The sequence below is a fragment of the Homo sapiens genome, chromosome 15 (assembly GCF_000001405.40).
Source record: "Homo sapiens chromosome 15, GRCh38.p14 Primary Assembly".
Classification (NCBI taxonomy): Eukaryota; Metazoa; Chordata; class Mammalia; order Primates; family Hominidae; genus Homo; species Homo sapiens.
Window position 1 is genome coordinate 96,162,499 of NC_000015.10, and position 18,620 is coordinate 96,181,118.

General features: G+C 40.7%; 3 long non-coding RNA genes across 6 annotated transcripts in view, besides 1 other annotated feature; 2 read left to right on the forward strand and 1 right to left on the reverse strand.

Moving 5' to 3' along the window:
* LOC112268156 (uncharacterized) overlaps positions 1-18,620 on the forward strand; it is a 236,909-nt gene that overhangs the window by 172,064 nt on the left and 46,225 nt on the right. The gene's annotated exons all lie outside the window — the stretch shown is intronic.
* NR2F2-AS1 (NR2F2 antisense RNA 1) overlaps positions 1-18,620 on the reverse strand; it is a 200,002-nt gene that overhangs the window by 35,139 nt on the left and 146,243 nt on the right. The gene's annotated exons all lie outside the window — the stretch shown is intronic.
* LOC105370997 (uncharacterized) lies at positions 9,085-11,837 on the forward strand. 4 transcript variants are annotated; one of them, NR_188332.1, is made up of 3 exons: positions 9,085-9,147; positions 10,906-11,003; positions 11,254-11,837. It is a non-coding gene; the product is annotated as an uncharacterized LOC105370997 (long non-coding RNA). The 4 variants fall into 4 exon arrangements; NR_188331.1 differs by lacking the exon at positions 10,906-11,003 and having other exon boundaries at positions 11,254-11,449; positions 11,690-11,837; NR_188330.1 differs by lacking the exon at positions 10,906-11,003.
* Positions 17,743-18,243: an enhancer, noted in NCBI's record as "H3K4me1 hESC enhancer chr15:96723470-96723970 (GRCh37/hg19 assembly coordinates)". NCBI's record gives its function as "activates a minimal SCP1, AML or CMV promoter by ChIP-STARR-seq in naive H9 embryonic stem cells {active_cell/tissue: H9 hESC(naive)}" and the evidence as "EXISTENCE:reporter gene assay evidence [ECO:0000049][PMID:30033119]".

The window sequence follows — 18,620 nt, forward strand, 5'->3', positions numbered from 1 at the left end:
TCTGAGGTTCCCTTTGGCCTTACCTGCCCACAGTTCCTCCCAGTCTTGTCATCAGGCCAGGAGCAGGGCAAGATATGAGTCCCAGGGACTGTGTGCTCACAGCAGCTGTGCCCAGAGATTAAGCTATGAGAAGCCAGGCGGTCTGGGAAAAGTGAACTGCTAACCTCTCTAGTTGCACTCCAAACTTTGACCTCTGTAAATCCAACCAAGAAAAGTTGGTGAGAGCTCTAAAACTTGGTTCCAGCAACTCCTCCTTGGAATTTATCAAGGGAAAAAGAATTTAACTAAAAGGTACTTCTCAGTCGTCTCTGTGTCATCAATGACAATATTTAATTTTCTGTTTTTAGGTTGAGAATAATCTTTAAATACACTAATGTGTAATTTAAGATTGATCTTCCCAAAGTTAAAAAAATGCCACTCCTCATTGTTGCCAGGTCATTCTTCTTTATTAGCAACAAGAAAAAAATAGAGACGGGCTTGATACATGAATACAGATGGATTTAGCATGAAGCTAATGAAGCTTGAGCTTCGACTCCTATGCAGATTCCTTCCAATGCCTTGGGAGGGACCGTAGCAATTTTGTTTCACTTTTATTATATATATATATATATTTTTTTAAAAGCCCTAAAAATTGTATACTCTTCATGCCCCACAAAACCTGGACCCCGCCCCCAAGTAAGTAAATTACGGATTTCTGCCAAGTGAAGGTTAAATGATGTTCCAGTATTCTGTGTGGACCAAAGTTTTGCAGTAGTTTAAATACAGAAAAGTGTTAAGGAATTGTCTTATACATTACAAGGAAATATAGGCATACTAAAATCAAAACATCATCAGCATACCAGTTGGAACAAAATTAATGCTGTGAGTAGCAATTAAACGTTAGCAAACCATTGTCCATCACATTAAGTCAGTGTTGTTAATTTGAAGGCTGAGTTTGTCATTTTCTTTGAATTCAATTTGTAAATTTGTTTTGGATTTGCAATTGTATAAGAGCCATAAATTTCAGGAATATATGCCTACTTTCAAGTTTGTATATGCTCTAGGAATATTAGACTATGAAGTCATTTAAATTCAGGGAAAGGAAAATAAGGAAAGAAGGAAGGAAGGAGGGAGGGAGGGAGGGAAGAAGGGAAGGAAGGAAGGAAGAAGGGAGGGAGGAAGGGAAGGAGGGAAGGAGGAAGAAGGAAAGAAAGAAGAGAATTCAATCAAGAACCCCCCCATGACGACAACGTTGTAGCCCAAGGATCCAAGATTTCTAATCCGCCTCTAGTTCTAACTTTCCAAATCTAGCCTAATCTGTCTTCAATGCTACAAAATGAGACCCTTCCTAAGCAGGAGCATTTATTTATTCAACAAATATTTCTGACCCAATTGTGTGTGCAGAGCACTATGCTTGAGTCTGTGAAAATTGGTTTATTATTTTCTTTAGCTGCCAAGAAGGATGAGAGTGAGAACACACATTCTTAAGGCAAAAACACACATATCTAAATAAAAATAATCTCATTTATGTAATCATTACAAATGTTTATAGCATTTCAGATAATATGTGAAGGCTGGTAAGGTGCTCAAGATTATGTTTTTCTTTAAGATTAAAATAACTTTGGGATTTTTTGCCACATTAGTGCCAGAAAATGTTTCATCCTCCATATTCCAATTGGCATGCTCTTGAACCAACTCCCTCCGCAGTTTAACTTCAGAGCTACTCCGGGGAAACTAACTAATTTTTAATATTGGGCTAAGCAAAACATAATTAGGAAGGCAAATTTCTGGGGGGGAATGTCATACGGGATATTCCCAAGCCAATGTACATGATTTTGCAACAAGCATTGTTTGAGTTTTCCACTGCATCTCTCGCCTTTACAGGTAATCACGAGTTGCTTGTAATTAAATAATCTCAGGTAACTGATGGCAAGACCATCCCCCTGAGATTGCTTCCTAGGTCTTGTAATAAGCCTAGATTTTTATATCCACCACAATTTTTGCTGCTCTGCTTCAAACACGAGCAGATATAAGAACTTCTCTCTTTTTGATCTGGGAGGAAGAAATATTCTGATTTATATCTCCAACTACCTCTGGACTCAACAGCTGAATTTTGCTTTCTTGACCACTTTATCCTATCTCTAAATGAATGGGCCCAGAAATGAAAGGGCACTGGGCTATTATTGATTCAAAGAATGTTAGAGCTCTAGAGGACCGGAGCAATGATCGTGTCCAGCTGGTCCCAAAGAGGTTCAATAAGATTCTAAGTATTCCTTTGTCTACTTTGAGAACAGCCTTGTTAGGCCTTCCATATCTGAATGTTTATTTCTAAATTTGATTTTCCTAAAAATTATTGAATACCTTCTTTATTTAAGGTGTTAAACTAACAACAATATCATTCAAGGAAATATACTTCTTATTCATATACTGTTGATTTTTTCAGAAAGAACACTTATCAATTTTCCCAGAGATGCAATTCTTGATTCCTACCTATCTCAATAAGGGAATAAGTGTGAAAAGGAAAAATGACGATGCACTAAAATGCCCTGTGATTTTAAACTGCACTCATAGAAGAAGAATTCTATGTTTAGATTTGGTCAAATTATTTACCCTCTTGTAAGACAATAATTTCCACTTGGGATCATTGGCTGCCATCTACCTGTTTACCCAGGGTTTAAATTCGAAGATGCAAAATCAAACAGGCCTTAGGTTTACCACACAAAATGAGAGAAAAACAACGACTGAGAGCTAGTTATATGACACTCAATTCTACCCCGCTGTTTTGTTTCCTGACACAGCTCTGTCTCGCTGAACTCTGCCCCACATCCATAACCCTATATCTAGGACATGAGCAGAGCCAAATCTCCAGGAATTATAATAAATAAAAGGAGTTTTTTTTTTTAAAAAAAAGCAAAAAAGAGTAAAGCTACAGTTCCAGGAAATCTGAATGTAAATTACAATGTAAATGAGAGTTTCTAATTATTCCTTTTTTAAGGATAGCACTCCACTTAAATTGTAGATTTAGACGTAGATGTTTTACACACACACACACACACACACACACGTATATGAGTATGGACATTATGGGAGGGGGGTGTATTTCATGCCTTTCTCCTAGAAGGTCAAAGTTCTGTAATATAAGAATTTAAAGATCATAAAATGCCAGTGCAGCAGGGAAGAGTATAGGAGGCATAGTGTATATAAGCAACTAAAAGTGGGGAGAGAAAGAGAACAAGATTCAAATCTGTTTCAACCACTTAGCAGCTATGTGATCTTGGGCAAGACCCTCTTGTTATTTGCTGCCGAGAGCACAGTTGTCAACACTAAATGGCTTAATAGAAGTAAAGCACTGTGTTTAGTATATAGTAGGTACTCAATAAATGACAGAGAGTTTATTATTGCTATCACCATATGGGGGAACTTGGAGTTATTCAGGCTCTGTCTGTTCCACTTCAAAATAAAGGTTTGCGATGTGCAACAGGTGGTCAGTCAATAGTCTGCTGTATCTTCATGATACTTTGCAACTGTTTTGAAAATTTTTTTCCTAAACAGATTCTTTTTAAGGCCTATATTATAATCTCCCTAACCTGCCCTCCCCCTGAGCCCCCTCTCTACACACACACACAATTCACCATTTAATTGCCTTGTTGCTTTAGCTTCCTGGAGACACAGCCACAGAGCTAAATATAGCTCTGTCCTTCCCAACAAGCAATCCTTTAAAGGAGCTAAATTGCCTTGCTTTTTTACTTCTTACCAAAACTTGATCTCAAGCTTTATAAAAGAGAAAAACTAAAGGCCTTCTACCATAGAATGTTTAGCAATCGACATGCTGTCCATTGCTTGAGAGGTTTTGTGTACTGGCACTTAATCCTTGCTTCAGTTACAACCCCTGTAGGGAAATTTGAGTCCTGTACACGGGTTCTTCATTCATTTCTGAGCCAAGATAATTCTAGGATTACCATTTAGAAAATTGGGAGAACAGACTTTTGCACAGTTACCAGGCAGACGGTATTGAAAAAAAAGGGGCATGTAGACTACCTTTTTGGTGACAAGGTTAGGGATAGGTATTGTGGTTAAATCCCATTAGCAAGAACATCACACTCATTAAGTGAATGCCAGAATGTGAACCAAGAAGCCTTCCTCTTCCCCACCCCGCCCCGCCCCTATTTCTTCTCCTCCTAATGGCATGCCCCTTCAATACAGGGGATTCCTTGCCCAGGAAATGCCTCTCCAGCGTAAATCACAGAGTACTCCCATGCCAAGTCGCTCCAAAGCCAGAGCGCACTGCCTAGGACACATGCCATTCTCCAAAAATCTACCAGCATACACGATTCATAAGCCGTCTCTCTCTTATTTCTTGGGTGACCTTTAGGGTTTGGAAAGTATTCCTTTGTGTTAAAGCAAACACAAACTATTCTGCGAGCATAGTTCAAGAATTTAAAGATTCTATTAATCTGATGTCTTAATTGTTATTGAGAAGAGGAAACAGGAGTGCCTTTGTTTCCCGAATGACCACATGCTTCTAAAAAGTGGCCCACAGTGTTGGAGTTTGCATCTCAAGTTGCAGGCAGCTCTGTATGAAGTGGAACTTCAGCGTAACTAATTCCCAGACATTAAGAGGGATAGGGAAAGAACAGAAAGCTGGGCAAACCCGAAGCAGGCTGCAGCAGGGCAAACTGAAGGAGCCCTGCTCCTGGACCTGCCTGCATTCCGAAGACCAGTTTAAAATAATGATTGATAAATGTGGATTTCACTACACAATACATGCGTGTAAGAAACCTGCACCTGTACCCCCTAAATGTGTACAGATAAACACAAAATTTAAAAGAAATCCAGATCAAAGGATTGCTTATAAATACTACCTTGGAACAGCAGTTCATGAGACATTTCACAGTATCCTCTCTCACTTTGGATAGTCACATGAAAAAATACATTTTATTTACTAGGTCAAAATGGGAAAGATACATAAATAAATGTGTATTTCAAAACTAAAGGTGCTAAGCAGGACATAGCAAATGGGGAAACACACACGCACACAATGCTGAACAACAACATGCAATCAAAGGAGAAAGAAAAAAATCTTACACGGATGAAAATATAAAAATCATTGTAATTCAATAATAGCATTCTGTGTGCCTACTATGTACAAGGCACTGAGAGTCCAGGCTTAGAAGAAAGAAGCAAGATTTATTTAGCTCCTGTCTCCCAAGCATTTACCTTCTATTAGGAAAGAATAAATCAAGTATAGAAATATCTACGATACAGGCTGAATACAATAAACGCCCCAAGAGGAAGAGCACATCTAGCTTGGCTGAGAAAGAAGTATATGGAACTAAAAATAGCTCCATGGACAGGGTAGCATTTGAAATGGGCCTCAAAAAAACAGTTAAAAAAATGCAGCTTAAAAAAATGATTGAACAAACATTCTGATTGAAGAAATAAAATGAGCTAAAATAGGGAAGCAGAGAGATATAAAGAATTTAGAGGAGGCCAGGTGTGGTGGCTCACGCCTGTAATCCCAGCACTTTGGGAGGCCGAGGCAGGTGGACCACCTGAGGTCGGGAGTTCGAGACCAGCCTAACCAACATAGAGAAACCCTGTCTCTACCAAATATACAAAATTAGCCAGGCATGGTGGCACATGCCTGTAATCCCAGCTACTTGGGAGGCTGTGGCAGGAGAATTGCTTGAACCTGGGAGGCAGAGTTTGCAATGAGCTGAGCTCACACCACTGCACTCCAGCCTGGGTGACAAAGTGAGACTCCATCTCAAAAAAAAAAAAAAAAGAATTTAGAGGAAAATAAGCAATATTCTGTATTGAGCATAGGATATTTAGGAGTTTAGTGGAAGATAAACAAAAAGACATTGTGGGTGACTTGAAAAAAGAGTAGTTTACCCTGGATTGAGGAGAAAACTAGTTACTGACAGTTTTTGAGCCCTGAAATAATGTGATCAGAGATGATTATTATGAAGAATACAGTAGTATGCAAAGCTATGTAGGATTATATTTTGGAGCAGGGACCCTGGTTTAAGGAGGAGCCACTCACTCATTCCTTCATTCAACAAAAATTAATTGAATACTTACCGTGTGCCAATCCACAGTCCAATTTAATCTATCTGGGAGGCAAAGCTCATCGTTTATGAACTATACATTTTAAAAGCAGAATCTATAGGACTTGAGAACTTACAGAAGAAAGTGGGAATGTGAGGCGGACTCCAAGTTTTGAGGCCAAAAACAATGGCAGAATGGGTTGGGGTGGGTTAGGTACAGAAATAGAAAAGTCAGGACGGGAAATGGTTGGAAGGTGGAGACAGAGCTGGAGTGGGTGCAGGTGTTGATTTGTACTTCACGCTCACTCTGAACTCCCCTGCAGAGTACAGCCAGCAGCTGGAAGAGATTGACGGGAGATGGCAGAGGAAAGAGGAAAAGAGAAGTCAGAGCTTAAAGAATGCCCGTATCAAAAAAAGAAAAGCCTTAGGGAGACAGAGGAAAAGACAGCGTGAAGGGAGAAGTTGATGTTTTTTGAGTGTTCTAGAACGGGGGTCCCCAACCCCAGCCTGCGGAACCGTACCAATCTGTGGCCTGTTAGGAACCAGGCCCCAGAAGGAGGTGAGCAGTGGGCGAGGGAGCATCACTTCGGATCATGCTTCCTGTCAGATCAGCAGTGGCAGTAGATTCTCATAGGAGCTGACCCCCATTGTAAGCTGCTCACGCCAGGGATCTAGGTTAGGTGCTCCTTATGAGAATCTAATGCCTGATGATCTGAGGTGGAATAGTGTCATCCCAAAATGATCCCCACAACCCTGTCCATGGAAAAATCATCTTCCACAAAACTGGTTCCCGGTGCAAAAAGGTTGGGGACCACTGTTCTAGAAGATAGCAAGGGTTAAACAGTGAGCAATTTAAATTTTTAAACTATCGCTGATAAAAGTGTAAAAGTCCAAAAAAAAATCTATCTTGCCAAGTTCAAAGTGTTAGGAATTGATCTAGGAGGTCCCACTTCCGCAGACATAATACGGCAGTCTCCCCTTGCGCTTGAGGGATACCCTCGAAGACCCTGAGTGGATTCCTGAAACCGAAGACAGCACCAAGCCCTAAACATACTATGCACACATTTCTCTTTCCCTCTTCGCAGTTTCATGGATACTATATTCATTCTTATTGTAGATCTCAGCAACCTCAGGATACTTTTTCTTTTCCTTATTAAGTCCAGAACTTTCACCTTTTCATTTAGAGGAAGCACTTTGCGGCTTCCCTTTGGCATCTCCGAATTGCCAGCATCACTATACTTGCACTTTGGGGCCATTACTATGTAAAATAAGAATTACTTGAACACAAGCACTGTGACATTGTGACAGTCAATATGACAACAGAGATGGCTCCTAAGTGACTACGGGCAGGGGTGGGCATACAGCATGGATCCGCTGGACAATGGGGACAATTCACAGCCCAGGCGAGACAGAGCAGGATGGCAGAAGATTTCATCTATTCAGAACAGTGTGAAATTTAAAACTTAGGAATTGTTTATTTCTGGAATTTTCTACTGAATATTTTTAGACTGTGATTGACCACGGGTAGCTGAAACCATGCAAAGCAAAACTGCGGATACGGGGGACTGCTGTACTAGGAGTCGACCAAAATTTATAAAGCATTTTTTTTTCTTTCCCCCTTCCTCATAGGAGGAGGAAGTACCAAATTATGGTAGTCTTTATGGAGAAATGCTGCATAAATAACTGCCAACAGCAAACAATGTATTATCCCTATGGTTCAATCATTTCTTGGAGGTTAAAAGATCACACGTGAAGGCCGGGCACAGTGGCTCATGCCTGCAATCCCAGCACTTTGGGAGGCCGAGGTGGGTGGGTCGCCTGAGGTCAGGAGTTCGAGACCAGCCTGGCCAACATGGCGAACCTCGTCTCTACAAAAAATACAAAAATTAGCTGGGTGTGGTGGCAGGCGCCTGTAATCCCAGGTACTTGGGGGGCGGTGAGGCAGGAGAATCTCTTGAACCTGGGAGGCAGAGGTTGCAGTGAGCAGAGATTGTGCCATTGCACTCCAGCCTGGGCAACAAGAGCAAGACTCCATCTAAAAAAAAAAGAAAAAGAAAAAAAAAAGATCATACATGCATCTTCCCTACCATTTCTAGATTTGTATTAATAAATAAGCCAAGTCGGTGAATTCTCTCTCTCTCTGTCTCTCTCTCAACTACTATTGCTTTAATCTTCCTGAAGTAAAAGTTTTTAAAAGAGAGAAGGAAGGAAGGAAGGAAGGAAGGAAGGAAGGAAGGAAGGAAGGAAGGAAGGAAGGAAAGAGAGAGAGAGAGAGAGAGAGAGAGAAAGAAAGAGAAAGAAAGAAAGAGAAAGAAAGTTGGATTGTTTGATAGGAACATACCACCCTTGAGTCTTCCCCTCATGAAACATGGATGCAGAGTTTTGGCCGGAATTAAAATTGCTAAACTGTGTTTGAGGTTGGCAGAGGAAGTGGTATGGAATTTACCAAGACAGGCTGGGAGTTGAAAAAAATTATAATCCAGGTGCCTCACCTTTTCCTCCACTGGTTGCTTTTCCCCCTATGCCCTGACGCCTGGGAGCTTATTTACCGAGTCAATTAACAAAAGATAACCTCCCATTGTGCAACCATCAATAAATCAATCGTGTTAATACTATCTTGGAATGTCCCCGACTATTGACTTTCATATTGTTTACATTAGCCACTTGAGAAAGCCAGAACCCTTGAGTCGGCTTGTTTGGGCGTTAATGGATTCTGGAGTAGCCATTACTACATATAAGTCTCTTTACAAAATATTGAAGTTTCTCTGAGGTTCACCTGCTTTCTGAACACTGGCGGTACACTCTCCTCCCTCCCCACACGATCCTGCAGCACCGAGTTTGATGAATACTTAGGAAGGCAAACAATCATGATCAGTAATGGAACAGTCACTTAGGGTACACCTACTTCTTTGTGAGTTGAATAATCTATTTCCACCCACCCCAGCCCCACACTGTCAACCACCATCAACAATCCGGGGAATCAAGTTAATCTTCAATTAGGTGAAAGAATTTCAGGAACGAGTGCAGCTCAAGTTACCAAGTAACTTACTGTTGTGAAACGATTCATACTGCAAGCCGCCTAAATGCAGGGCTTTTGATGATATTCCCCGCCAACAAGGTAAGAAAAATCTTTCCAAGCAGTGACAATCTCTACATAGGGAACCTCCAAAACTTCTCAAGCTATCTTGAAAATTAATGCAACAGAACAAAATCTTTCTATATTTTCTCCATACATATTATAAAAAATAAGGTTGAATATCATAATCATAATTATAAAGCTGGGGTTTAGTGGGGTTTTTTGTTGTCATTAGCATTTCCTTCTTAATGGCATCAGAAATACTTAGAGAACAGGTTTTCCCTCAGAAGTCACAACTGCTCTGCTTCCAGGCCAAGGTAGTTTGCTAAGGCGCTCTATGCAGAGGGATTAAAAAGGAAGGTTGGGGGTAGCGAGGTGGGACACCAGTCCAGGGACTACAGAAGGTTCAGATTTCAGTGCTGGCTGCAGACCTGGGCAAAGTTCACTGCTCCCTTTTCACGACATGCTACATACTTTTCAAGTTCCCACTTGCTTCTTAGAGAGGAAAAAATGTGGCCTCCGAGTTCAGGTTGCTAAGGACAAGCTGAGCCAATTTAACCATGCATTCCTTTTCTAAAAGATAGGCTGGGTTGTTGTTGTTTTTTCACTGTAAATACCAGAAAGTCTTGATCCTCCCTACTCTAAACAAATACTTTTGCTACAACTTTGAAGTCATCTATCTTCCACGGTGGGAAACCAAGGATTGCATTCAGTAGCCTTTTCCTGCCTGAGTTTAGACAAAATTGAATAGTATTCTACTTTGTAGCACATCTTCTTACCAGACACCAGGCTTCGTTTTTCCTCTTGATAATGATGGGTATTTAAAATGCATATGACTATTGGATAATAAAACTCCCACTGTTCTAAGGCTTTCTTTTTGTCTTTCTTTTTTCTTTTCTTTTTTCTTTTTTTTCGCTTTGACTTCATGATATATATGTCTACTTAGGGTGTTTTGAAGAGAGTGAAGGAAACAGACAGGACTTTGAAAGGAAAAACAGACATCTAATTGGCTGTCTCTTGCCGACCCTCCAGTGACCCTGCACTGAATACCTCTAATGGACGTGTGTGATCTTGGAGCCTCTACCGCAATAAACGAGTTTTAGACTTTCAACTTGTTTTTGCAGCAGAATTCTTTATTCTCCTTAAAATTGATTTTTTAAAAAACGAGTGAGCAAGGCATTAGCATAGGTATTTTACACAAAAGGGTGAAATGGTTTTCTAATTTTATAGATTTAATATTTTTAAAAAGAATTTGGCTTCATTATGAATTTAGTTCATGTTAGTGTGTCATTTTACATACTCTAAAAAGTGGTTTTTTTAATATGGAAAGCAAATATTTGCCTTCAAAGCAGTAGTTTCTAAATCCAAAAAGTTCAGAAAGTCAGTTAGGAGGCAATAATCTTAACTCCAAAAATTAATAACTCTCATGACATTGTTTATGTGAAACCTTGGAACTTCCTGTGCTGTAAACCATCTTTGAGTCAAGCTAGAAAATAGTAAGAGTCAACTCAAATCCTTTATGCTTCAAAAAACACATGAGACTATTGAACAGGCTTTATTAAGTGATGTGGGGGTTAACGGTGAAAGCCCCCATTTCTATTTTTGTCAAAAGACTAGGAGCCTCATCCCCATCAGAGAGCTTTGCATTTCCCCTGCCACCTTAACTTCCTGGGAACTGCCAGGGTACACTACCTCCTTTCTTTTCTTCTTTTCTCCCTTTTCACTATCTAGCATTTCTTCCCTTTTATTGTTCTTTCTTCACGTCCATGTTGACCTTTTTTTTTTTAACTTATCATCTAGGATGAGTCAAGGCCTGCCTTGATGTTGCTCTGTGTCCTACCAGCAATTCTTCCTGGAATCGTCTGTTCACATGGATGTCTAAATGTTTAAGCACCCATGTAAATACTATGGTATCACTTTCTCATCAGTAGAGCTTTTGTGAGTTACAGAAAGGCTGAGACCAATGCCACAATTTGAGATTCCAATATGTGAAATAATAAAGACATCCCCTAACAGGACTTTTTAATAAATTAGGCTTTAACATTTGATATTTATAATGTTTTCTGAGAGTGTTCAATATAACAGAGAGTAGTATTCCAGTTATTATATATATTTATTTGGAAATAATGCCAAAACTCTACATTGTAGGCATGAAGGTGGGGCTTGCCTCCATCTGGCTCTCCTGCCACTTTCAACAACACACCCCACATCCGATCCTGCTTAGAGTCGAAGATGAATCTGGCATAATACAAACAGCACTGGACTGGAAGCATGAAGTTTCTCTTATCTGTGCCTTGGTTTCCTCATGTGGAAAATGAAAATGTTGACATAAATAATCACACAGGTCTCTGTTAGTACCATTTTGTGATTTTATATCGTGCTTACCACACCTAGAAACAGGGGCCATCATTCCAGCCAGCTAACAGAGAAAAAGACGATACATAATCAGGCTTGGGAAAATAAATTTCAGAGACCAAGTAAACAAAGACAACAATCTAGTATAAGGGTTATAACTGGGGGATGAGGGGTTGCAAATGGAGATCTGCCACAGTCAACTCTATTTGGATTCCCCTGTTCTCAACAGGCAACAGCAATCATAATGGGCTTGGAGCACCAGTCCCACAACATCACAGGACATCCAGACATAATTGCATTAATAATGTTGTGCATAATCGCACAACTCTCTGGTTATTCAGCATCGTCCAATATGTGAATAAAGCTCTGAGGAAAAATTAATGCTTGCTTAATGCTTTGACACATTTCCCTTTACAAAGCAAAGATCCCTACTCCTCTCACTTTCTCACATGGAGAAAAAATTAAAGTAGCATTACAACTAGTCAGCATCCACATGAGGCCTTATAATTAATCAGATCTACTGAGAGTTAGGTCCAAGATCCAGCGTAAGGAGAGATCAAGCAGAAACAAAATACACAGCCATTGCTCTGTATCTGTAGGAGATTGGTTCCAGAACCCCCTTCAATACCAAAATCTGCAGATGCTCAAGTGCCTTATATAAGATGGTATAGTATTTGCATATAACCTACGCATACCCTCCTGTATACTTTAAATCATCTCTAGATTACTTACAATACCTAATATAATGTGAGTGCTACGTAAATGGTTATACTGCATTTTTATTTGTATTACTTTTATTGTTGTATTATTACTTCTTTTTTTTTTTTACAATTATTTTTAATCTGTGGTTGCTCAAAGCTGCAGATGTGGAACCCAGGAATATGGAGGCCCAACTGTACTTTTACCTTATTATGTAGGCTATGCTAATATTAATGACTAGAATGTTATATTATTTCTTCTCAGATTTCAACAACAGTTGAGCCTCAGGGTCAAAGTATCCGGCACTAAATTGAAGAGAATGCTGATGATTAGGACAGGAAAGCAACTTAAGCATCTATTAGTCCAGCCTACTATGAAAAGTAGGAATTCCTTCAACAAAATTCTCGCACATGCCTATCCAACTTCCCAATGACTAAAGCAATAACAACAGTAATGATAATAATGAACACATATTTCATACTTACTGTGTGCCAGACACTGTCCTAAGTATATTGAGTAGTACTGACTGTGAATCAGCACTGTTCCTAGAACTTCATAGACACTCAACTTATTGAATCTTGAAAATGCCTCTAGGAGGTAGGATCTATTATTGCTCTTATTTTATAGATGAATCAATGGAAACAGAAAAGAGTTCACTAACTTGCCAGAGGTCACACAGATAGACTGAGAAGAGCTGGACAATTGCACTAAACAGACTAGCCCTGTAGCCTGTCCTGCTAATTCTATGCTACCAATAGGGGCAAGGGACAGAGACAAAGTAGGGAATTAGAGTCCATTTCAACACTACTTTAATTACTCAGTTTTCTGAGCAGAAGCTGCCTCCTTTAGTCTTCATATTGCCCACTAGTTCTAAACAGAATAATTATTCCTCCTTCCATTTGACAGTGCTTTTTTATCAAAGATTGACAAACTATGGCTCGTAGGCCAAATCTGGCCCACCATCTGTTTTTATGTGGGCCATGAGCTAAGAATGGATTTCAAGTTTTCAAATGGTTGGAAAAAATATCAAAAGAAGAATAATATTTTGTGACACATGAAAATCACATGACATTTAAATCTCAGTGTCCATAAATGAAGTCTTATTGGAACACAATCACACTTCACTTACATATTGTCTGTGGCTGCTTTTACTTTACTATAAGTCGGAATTAAGTACTTGAAAAAAGACCACATGGCCCAGTAAAGCCTAAAATATTTACTATCTGGCCCATTGCAGAGAATGTTTGCTGATTCTTGCCTTAAATAGTAGAAGGTAGTTCTCCTGTCCTTTCCTAAAAGTGCCCTTTTTTATAGTAAAATACCTCAGGTCCCCCCAACCACCACCATCTCATTATCCCGGAAACTCTTCTCTGGCATTCTTTGGTGCATATTCTCTCTCTCTAAAAATTCTCCTCAGTGGTATATGGCTACAATGGAATACTACTCAACAATAAAAAGGAACAAACTACAGTGGATACACACAACAACATAATGAATCTCCAAACCACTATTCTGAGTGAAAAAGCCCTGCACATCTTTTTCTCACTGCGTGATTGTATCTACAGGAAATCCTAAAATGGGTAAAACTAATCTAGGGTGAAAAATTATATATCAGAATAATGGTTGTCTTTGGGAAAATGGGGCAAGGATTGGTGGGATGGGCATGAGAGAACAATCTGGGATGCTAGAAACATCCCAGATCTTGAGAGTTGTTTGGGTTACACAGTTGTGTGTATTTGCCAAAATCCACCAAAATGTACATAGTTTGTACATTATACTGTATCTACCTCAAAAACAAACCTTGTAAATAAATATTGAATTCTAGTTAATGATCTGCATACTGAAAGGTTTAGTGGTAACAGTATCAAGGCCTGCAACTCATTTGAAATGCATCAGAAAATCAAGACGGTTGGATGATTGGGTGGAGGGAGGGACAGATGGCAAGAGATATGAAAAAGCAAGAGAAGTAAAGTGTTCATTGTCGAAAGTGGTTGATGGATACCTGGATGTTCACTATCTAATTCTTTCACCTCCTCTGTTTAAGTCTTGTGACAACAAAATTTCCTTCTAAAATAACATTTTCAAAGTAAAATTTTTATAATAAATGGGGCAGAAAGGATAAAAGTAATGTCTGGCATGAAACAAACTACTCTAAAAGTTGCACAAAGCGACATCACTATTTCCCTTCCTTTGGCCATTTTTATGTTAGCATTTATTTTCCTTTGATGTATCTGATTGGACCCTGAAGTATCCTACCTTCAAGGTATCCAAAAAGGTATCTTGGGTATCACCGTTAGGACTAGTGATGAGAATTTATTCTATGATGGAATCTAATTCCATGGCAAGTGGCCAACTTTCATTTCTTTGTTTAAATTTTATGATAAGAGATGCATACAGTGAAAGACATAGAAACATCCCCAGTCAGATGCCTCCGCCAAATCCGCTTGTGGAAAACTGTAAATTCCACAAGTGAGTTTACGCTCTTGTCTCATGAATGTGTAGAAAGAATAATGCATTTGTTTGTTTGATTATAGCTGAATTTCTGCCTTTGTAACCCCACCAGTAGGTGGTCATGTATTTCTCATACTAAGGTTCACTACCACTTCACAAACAATATGCTCAACACTGTTGCAAGCATCAGATGAGAGTGTGTGCCTGACAAAAATTTGAAAAAGTCCTCAAAATATGCAGCCTAATCTCTGGATTAACTGTTTCTTTAAAGGGCCTCTGCAGTGTATAATCTGCAGACTTGTTCTGTTGCTTTTATGCAATGCCAATATTATTAGTAGCAATAATACAATCACGCTTCAACTATTTGGAGGTCAATTAGCTGGAAAGTTCTGCCTTCTGAATGGAAGCTAAGAAACCAGTAAGTAAGCAAGAAAAATCCTGTGGGCAGTCAAAATAGCTGCAAAAGCTTCAGGGTGCCAAGCTCATATATTTGCTCATGGAAGACTCTCTAAAGCCAATGCTCAAAATCCTATGACACTTATTTATGCAAAATTCTAACAAGCCTGGGTTTCCAGCTCATAACCCTAACAGAGGTTGCATATAGGCAGGCATGGTGAAAGCACCAAGAATCAGAAGAGTAATCAGCCATCATTCAAAACTCAAAAAGGACTACAATTTGGGAGGATGGAATTCAGGGGTGGAAAAGTCCACCCTAATGCTACCAAGTTAACATTTTATAAACTATGTTCCTAAAATTATAGTTCCACAAGATATTAAAGAAGGTTTTTTAAAAATAAAAAAGAGGACTGGGAGTGGTGACTCACACCTGTAATCCCAACACTTTGAGAGGCTGAGGCAGGAGGATTGCCTGAGCCCAGGAGTTCTAGACCAGCCTTGGCAGGATAGTGAGACCCCCTCTCTACTAAAAACCAAAAAAATCAGTTGGGTGTGGTGGCATGCGCCTGTGATCCCAGCTAGTCAGGGAGCTGAGGTGAGAGGATCACTTGAGCCCAGGAGGTCGAGACTGCAGTGAGCTGTGATCGTGCCACTGCACTCCAGCCTGGGTGACAGAGCAAGACTGTATCTCAAAAAATTAAAAAAAGTAAAAATTAAAAATAAGAGGAGGTGCTATCCTCAGATATGTTTAGAAAATACCGGTCTAATAGTGCTTCAATATTTCTATTGTGATTCTAGCAAGTTCTAAAAAGAACACTGGTTTTGTGGTTGTTCTTCCTTTCCTCACTCCACATTTTTTCTTTTATTTTGGCTGAAACTTACAGATATTTTTTTTTTCTCATCATAATGATGTCCATCAGTCTGCCCGAATCTTCTGGTCTGGGTGTGGCTCTGACTTTTCAAATACCCTTCTTAAGCAGGTGTTTCCTCTCCTGCCCCAAACATTGTATTCCCTTTCGTTTGTGTTGTATAGATTCCAGGCCACATTTCTACTTTTTGAGGACAGCTTCCAAACCATCCACATGTTCACTTTCTTTTCCACTTCCCTCGGTTTTCACTTCCTACTTCCTTTCCCCATCTTTTTCCTCTCCAGATTGTATGCCAGGCATTCTTTGCCTATACTCTGCTTTGAAATCCTTCCTGCATTTCCTCTCTATCTCACAGCTTTGCAATTTTTGCTACTCTTGCTCCCTTCCTGCGTATTTCCTTCATATCTTGAATCCCAACTACCTCTCCTCTCCTGCCAAATCAAATGCATCAGCTGAAAGCCACCTGAAAATCCCTCTTCTCTTCCCATCTGTGCAACCCCACTAGTTTACCTTTAACATGCATTGTTCCTAAGTGAACCCACCAGCTTGCATGGGGAGAAGGGATATTAGTTTATTCTTCTTTCCTGGCAGCCCTTGAGTACAGGGCTATGAGCCCCTCTGACAAATACTGTCCTCCATGTCATCAACATTGGATTTTGAGTCAGTAGAACTGTGTTCCATCTTAAACTCTGCCTCTTATTTACTTGGCTCAGTCACTTAATTTTTTTGAACCTCAGTTTCCACATCTATAAAAGGGCAATAATCCCTGATTTATCCCAGGGGGCTGAGTGGAGGCAATGAGGCCATGTTTGTGCAAGCTCTTCAGCGCGTGGTGGATGTGACAATTTTATTCTTTCACTTGAAAATTTTATTCATATTTGAGGTCCTGGGAGTAGAGCTTCATTCTCTTTCTTTACTTTCCTAGAGATGGGGTCTCATTTTGTCACCCAGGCTGGAGTGCAGTGGCGTGTTCACTGCAGTCTCGACCTCCTGGGCTCAAGAGATCCTCCTGCCTAAGCTTCCCAAGTAGCTGAGACTACAGGCTCACACCACCACTTCTGGCTCATTCTCTTTTATAGTCTTAATTTCTTCTGGTTCTACCAGGTTTTTGTTTACTGTTTACGTACACCAACTGAGTTCTCCAGTTTGATCAGATCACAGACTTGTCAAGAGGGAGCCTGTATTAATAGCAAAGTGGTTAACTGCATGATCACCATCTTCCAACATTCTGGCTGAAAACCTGACTCCATCATTTAGCAGGTGCAGGAAATTGGGAAAGTCCACTTATCCTGGACTTCCTGTTTCCTTACCTTTTTCTTCTTTTCTTTTTTTTTTTTTTTTCGAGACAGAGTTTCACTCTCGTTGCCCAGGCTGGATTGCAATGGCACAATCTCCACTCACTGCAACCTCCGCCTCCCAGGTTCAAGCAATTCTCTTGCCTCAGCCTCCTGAGTAGCTGGGATTACAGGCGCCTGCCACCAGGCCCGGCTAATTTTGTATTTTTAGTAGGGATGAGGTTTCTCCATGTTGGTCAGGCTGGTCTCAAACTCCCGACCTCAGGTGATCCACCCGCCTCTGAGATTACAGGTGTGAGCCACCATGCCCAGCCCCTCATCTTTAAAATGGGGTGACTTCTGTAGTGAGTGAGGCCACTAAGGAAGGTCACTGTGATGATTATGAGTCCAAAGGAGTGAGATCTTAGCCCACATGGTTATTAGCCCTGCCTCTTTGCCCCTGCCTCGGTTTTCTTCCTTGGTTCCTCCATTCTCCATTTCTCACTGTTGTCTCTCTCTTCCTGTCACCCCACGGTGGTGCAAGCTGGTGCTCCCTGCACATCCAGTAAAATGTCAGGGGAAAAGTTCAGCCGTTGCAGCCTCCCGAGGGGCTGCTCTCCTTGGGCTGCTGCTGGCTGTGTGGCTCCTCCTTCCTCCCCTGGATTCTTTCCTGGCATCCTCCCGTGTTTTCACTGTCTTTCTGATTAGAGAGTATGTCAGTGGGGCAGGATAATTTACTGATATATTAATTTGTGTTTTTATCTCAGCGTTTGCCCTCTGCTCTACAAAGGAAGTCAGGCCTCTCTGTGCCCCTGCCTCGAGGGAGGTTTGTTTTAAAAGTCCAAAGCCAAGACACCTGGCTTTTGTTTCCCCAAAGCTCAAGCTGTGGGAGGAGATAATGCCAGCAGGGAGGAAGAGGGGAGAAGCTCGAGGCCTTTGAGAGGAGGGAGAGAGAGAGGCAGGGAGACAGAGAGAGATTTTGATAGATGGAAAGGGGGCGAAGGCCAGAGAAGCAGGCCACTTACAGACAAGCCACAATCCATGGCAGCCCCTGCAGAAGCGGCTGCCTCTCAGAGAGGATGAGCGTGGACCACTGGCCCCTAATCCCAGGCTGACAGATGCAGCAAATGCGCCACCCAAAGTTCCCAGCACCCAACACGCTTGTGGGCAGCACAGCCACAAGAGGGAAGCTCAGGTAGGTGGGGACAGTGGCAAGCAGAAGAGAGAAGAGACAGGGACAGCTAGAACCGTAAATCAGAACATCTAATGTTTGCTGCCCACTCAGAACGTGCTAAGCACCATTCTAGGATCTTGGCAAATATTAGAATGGTCACTCCTGAAGACAACCCTCCATCCCCACATTCACAGCAGAGGAAACAGAGGAACACAGAAGTAAATTTTCCAAGATCACACAACTGGGACATGGTAAAACCAGATACATAGAAATATTGAGAGACCACCAATTTATTGC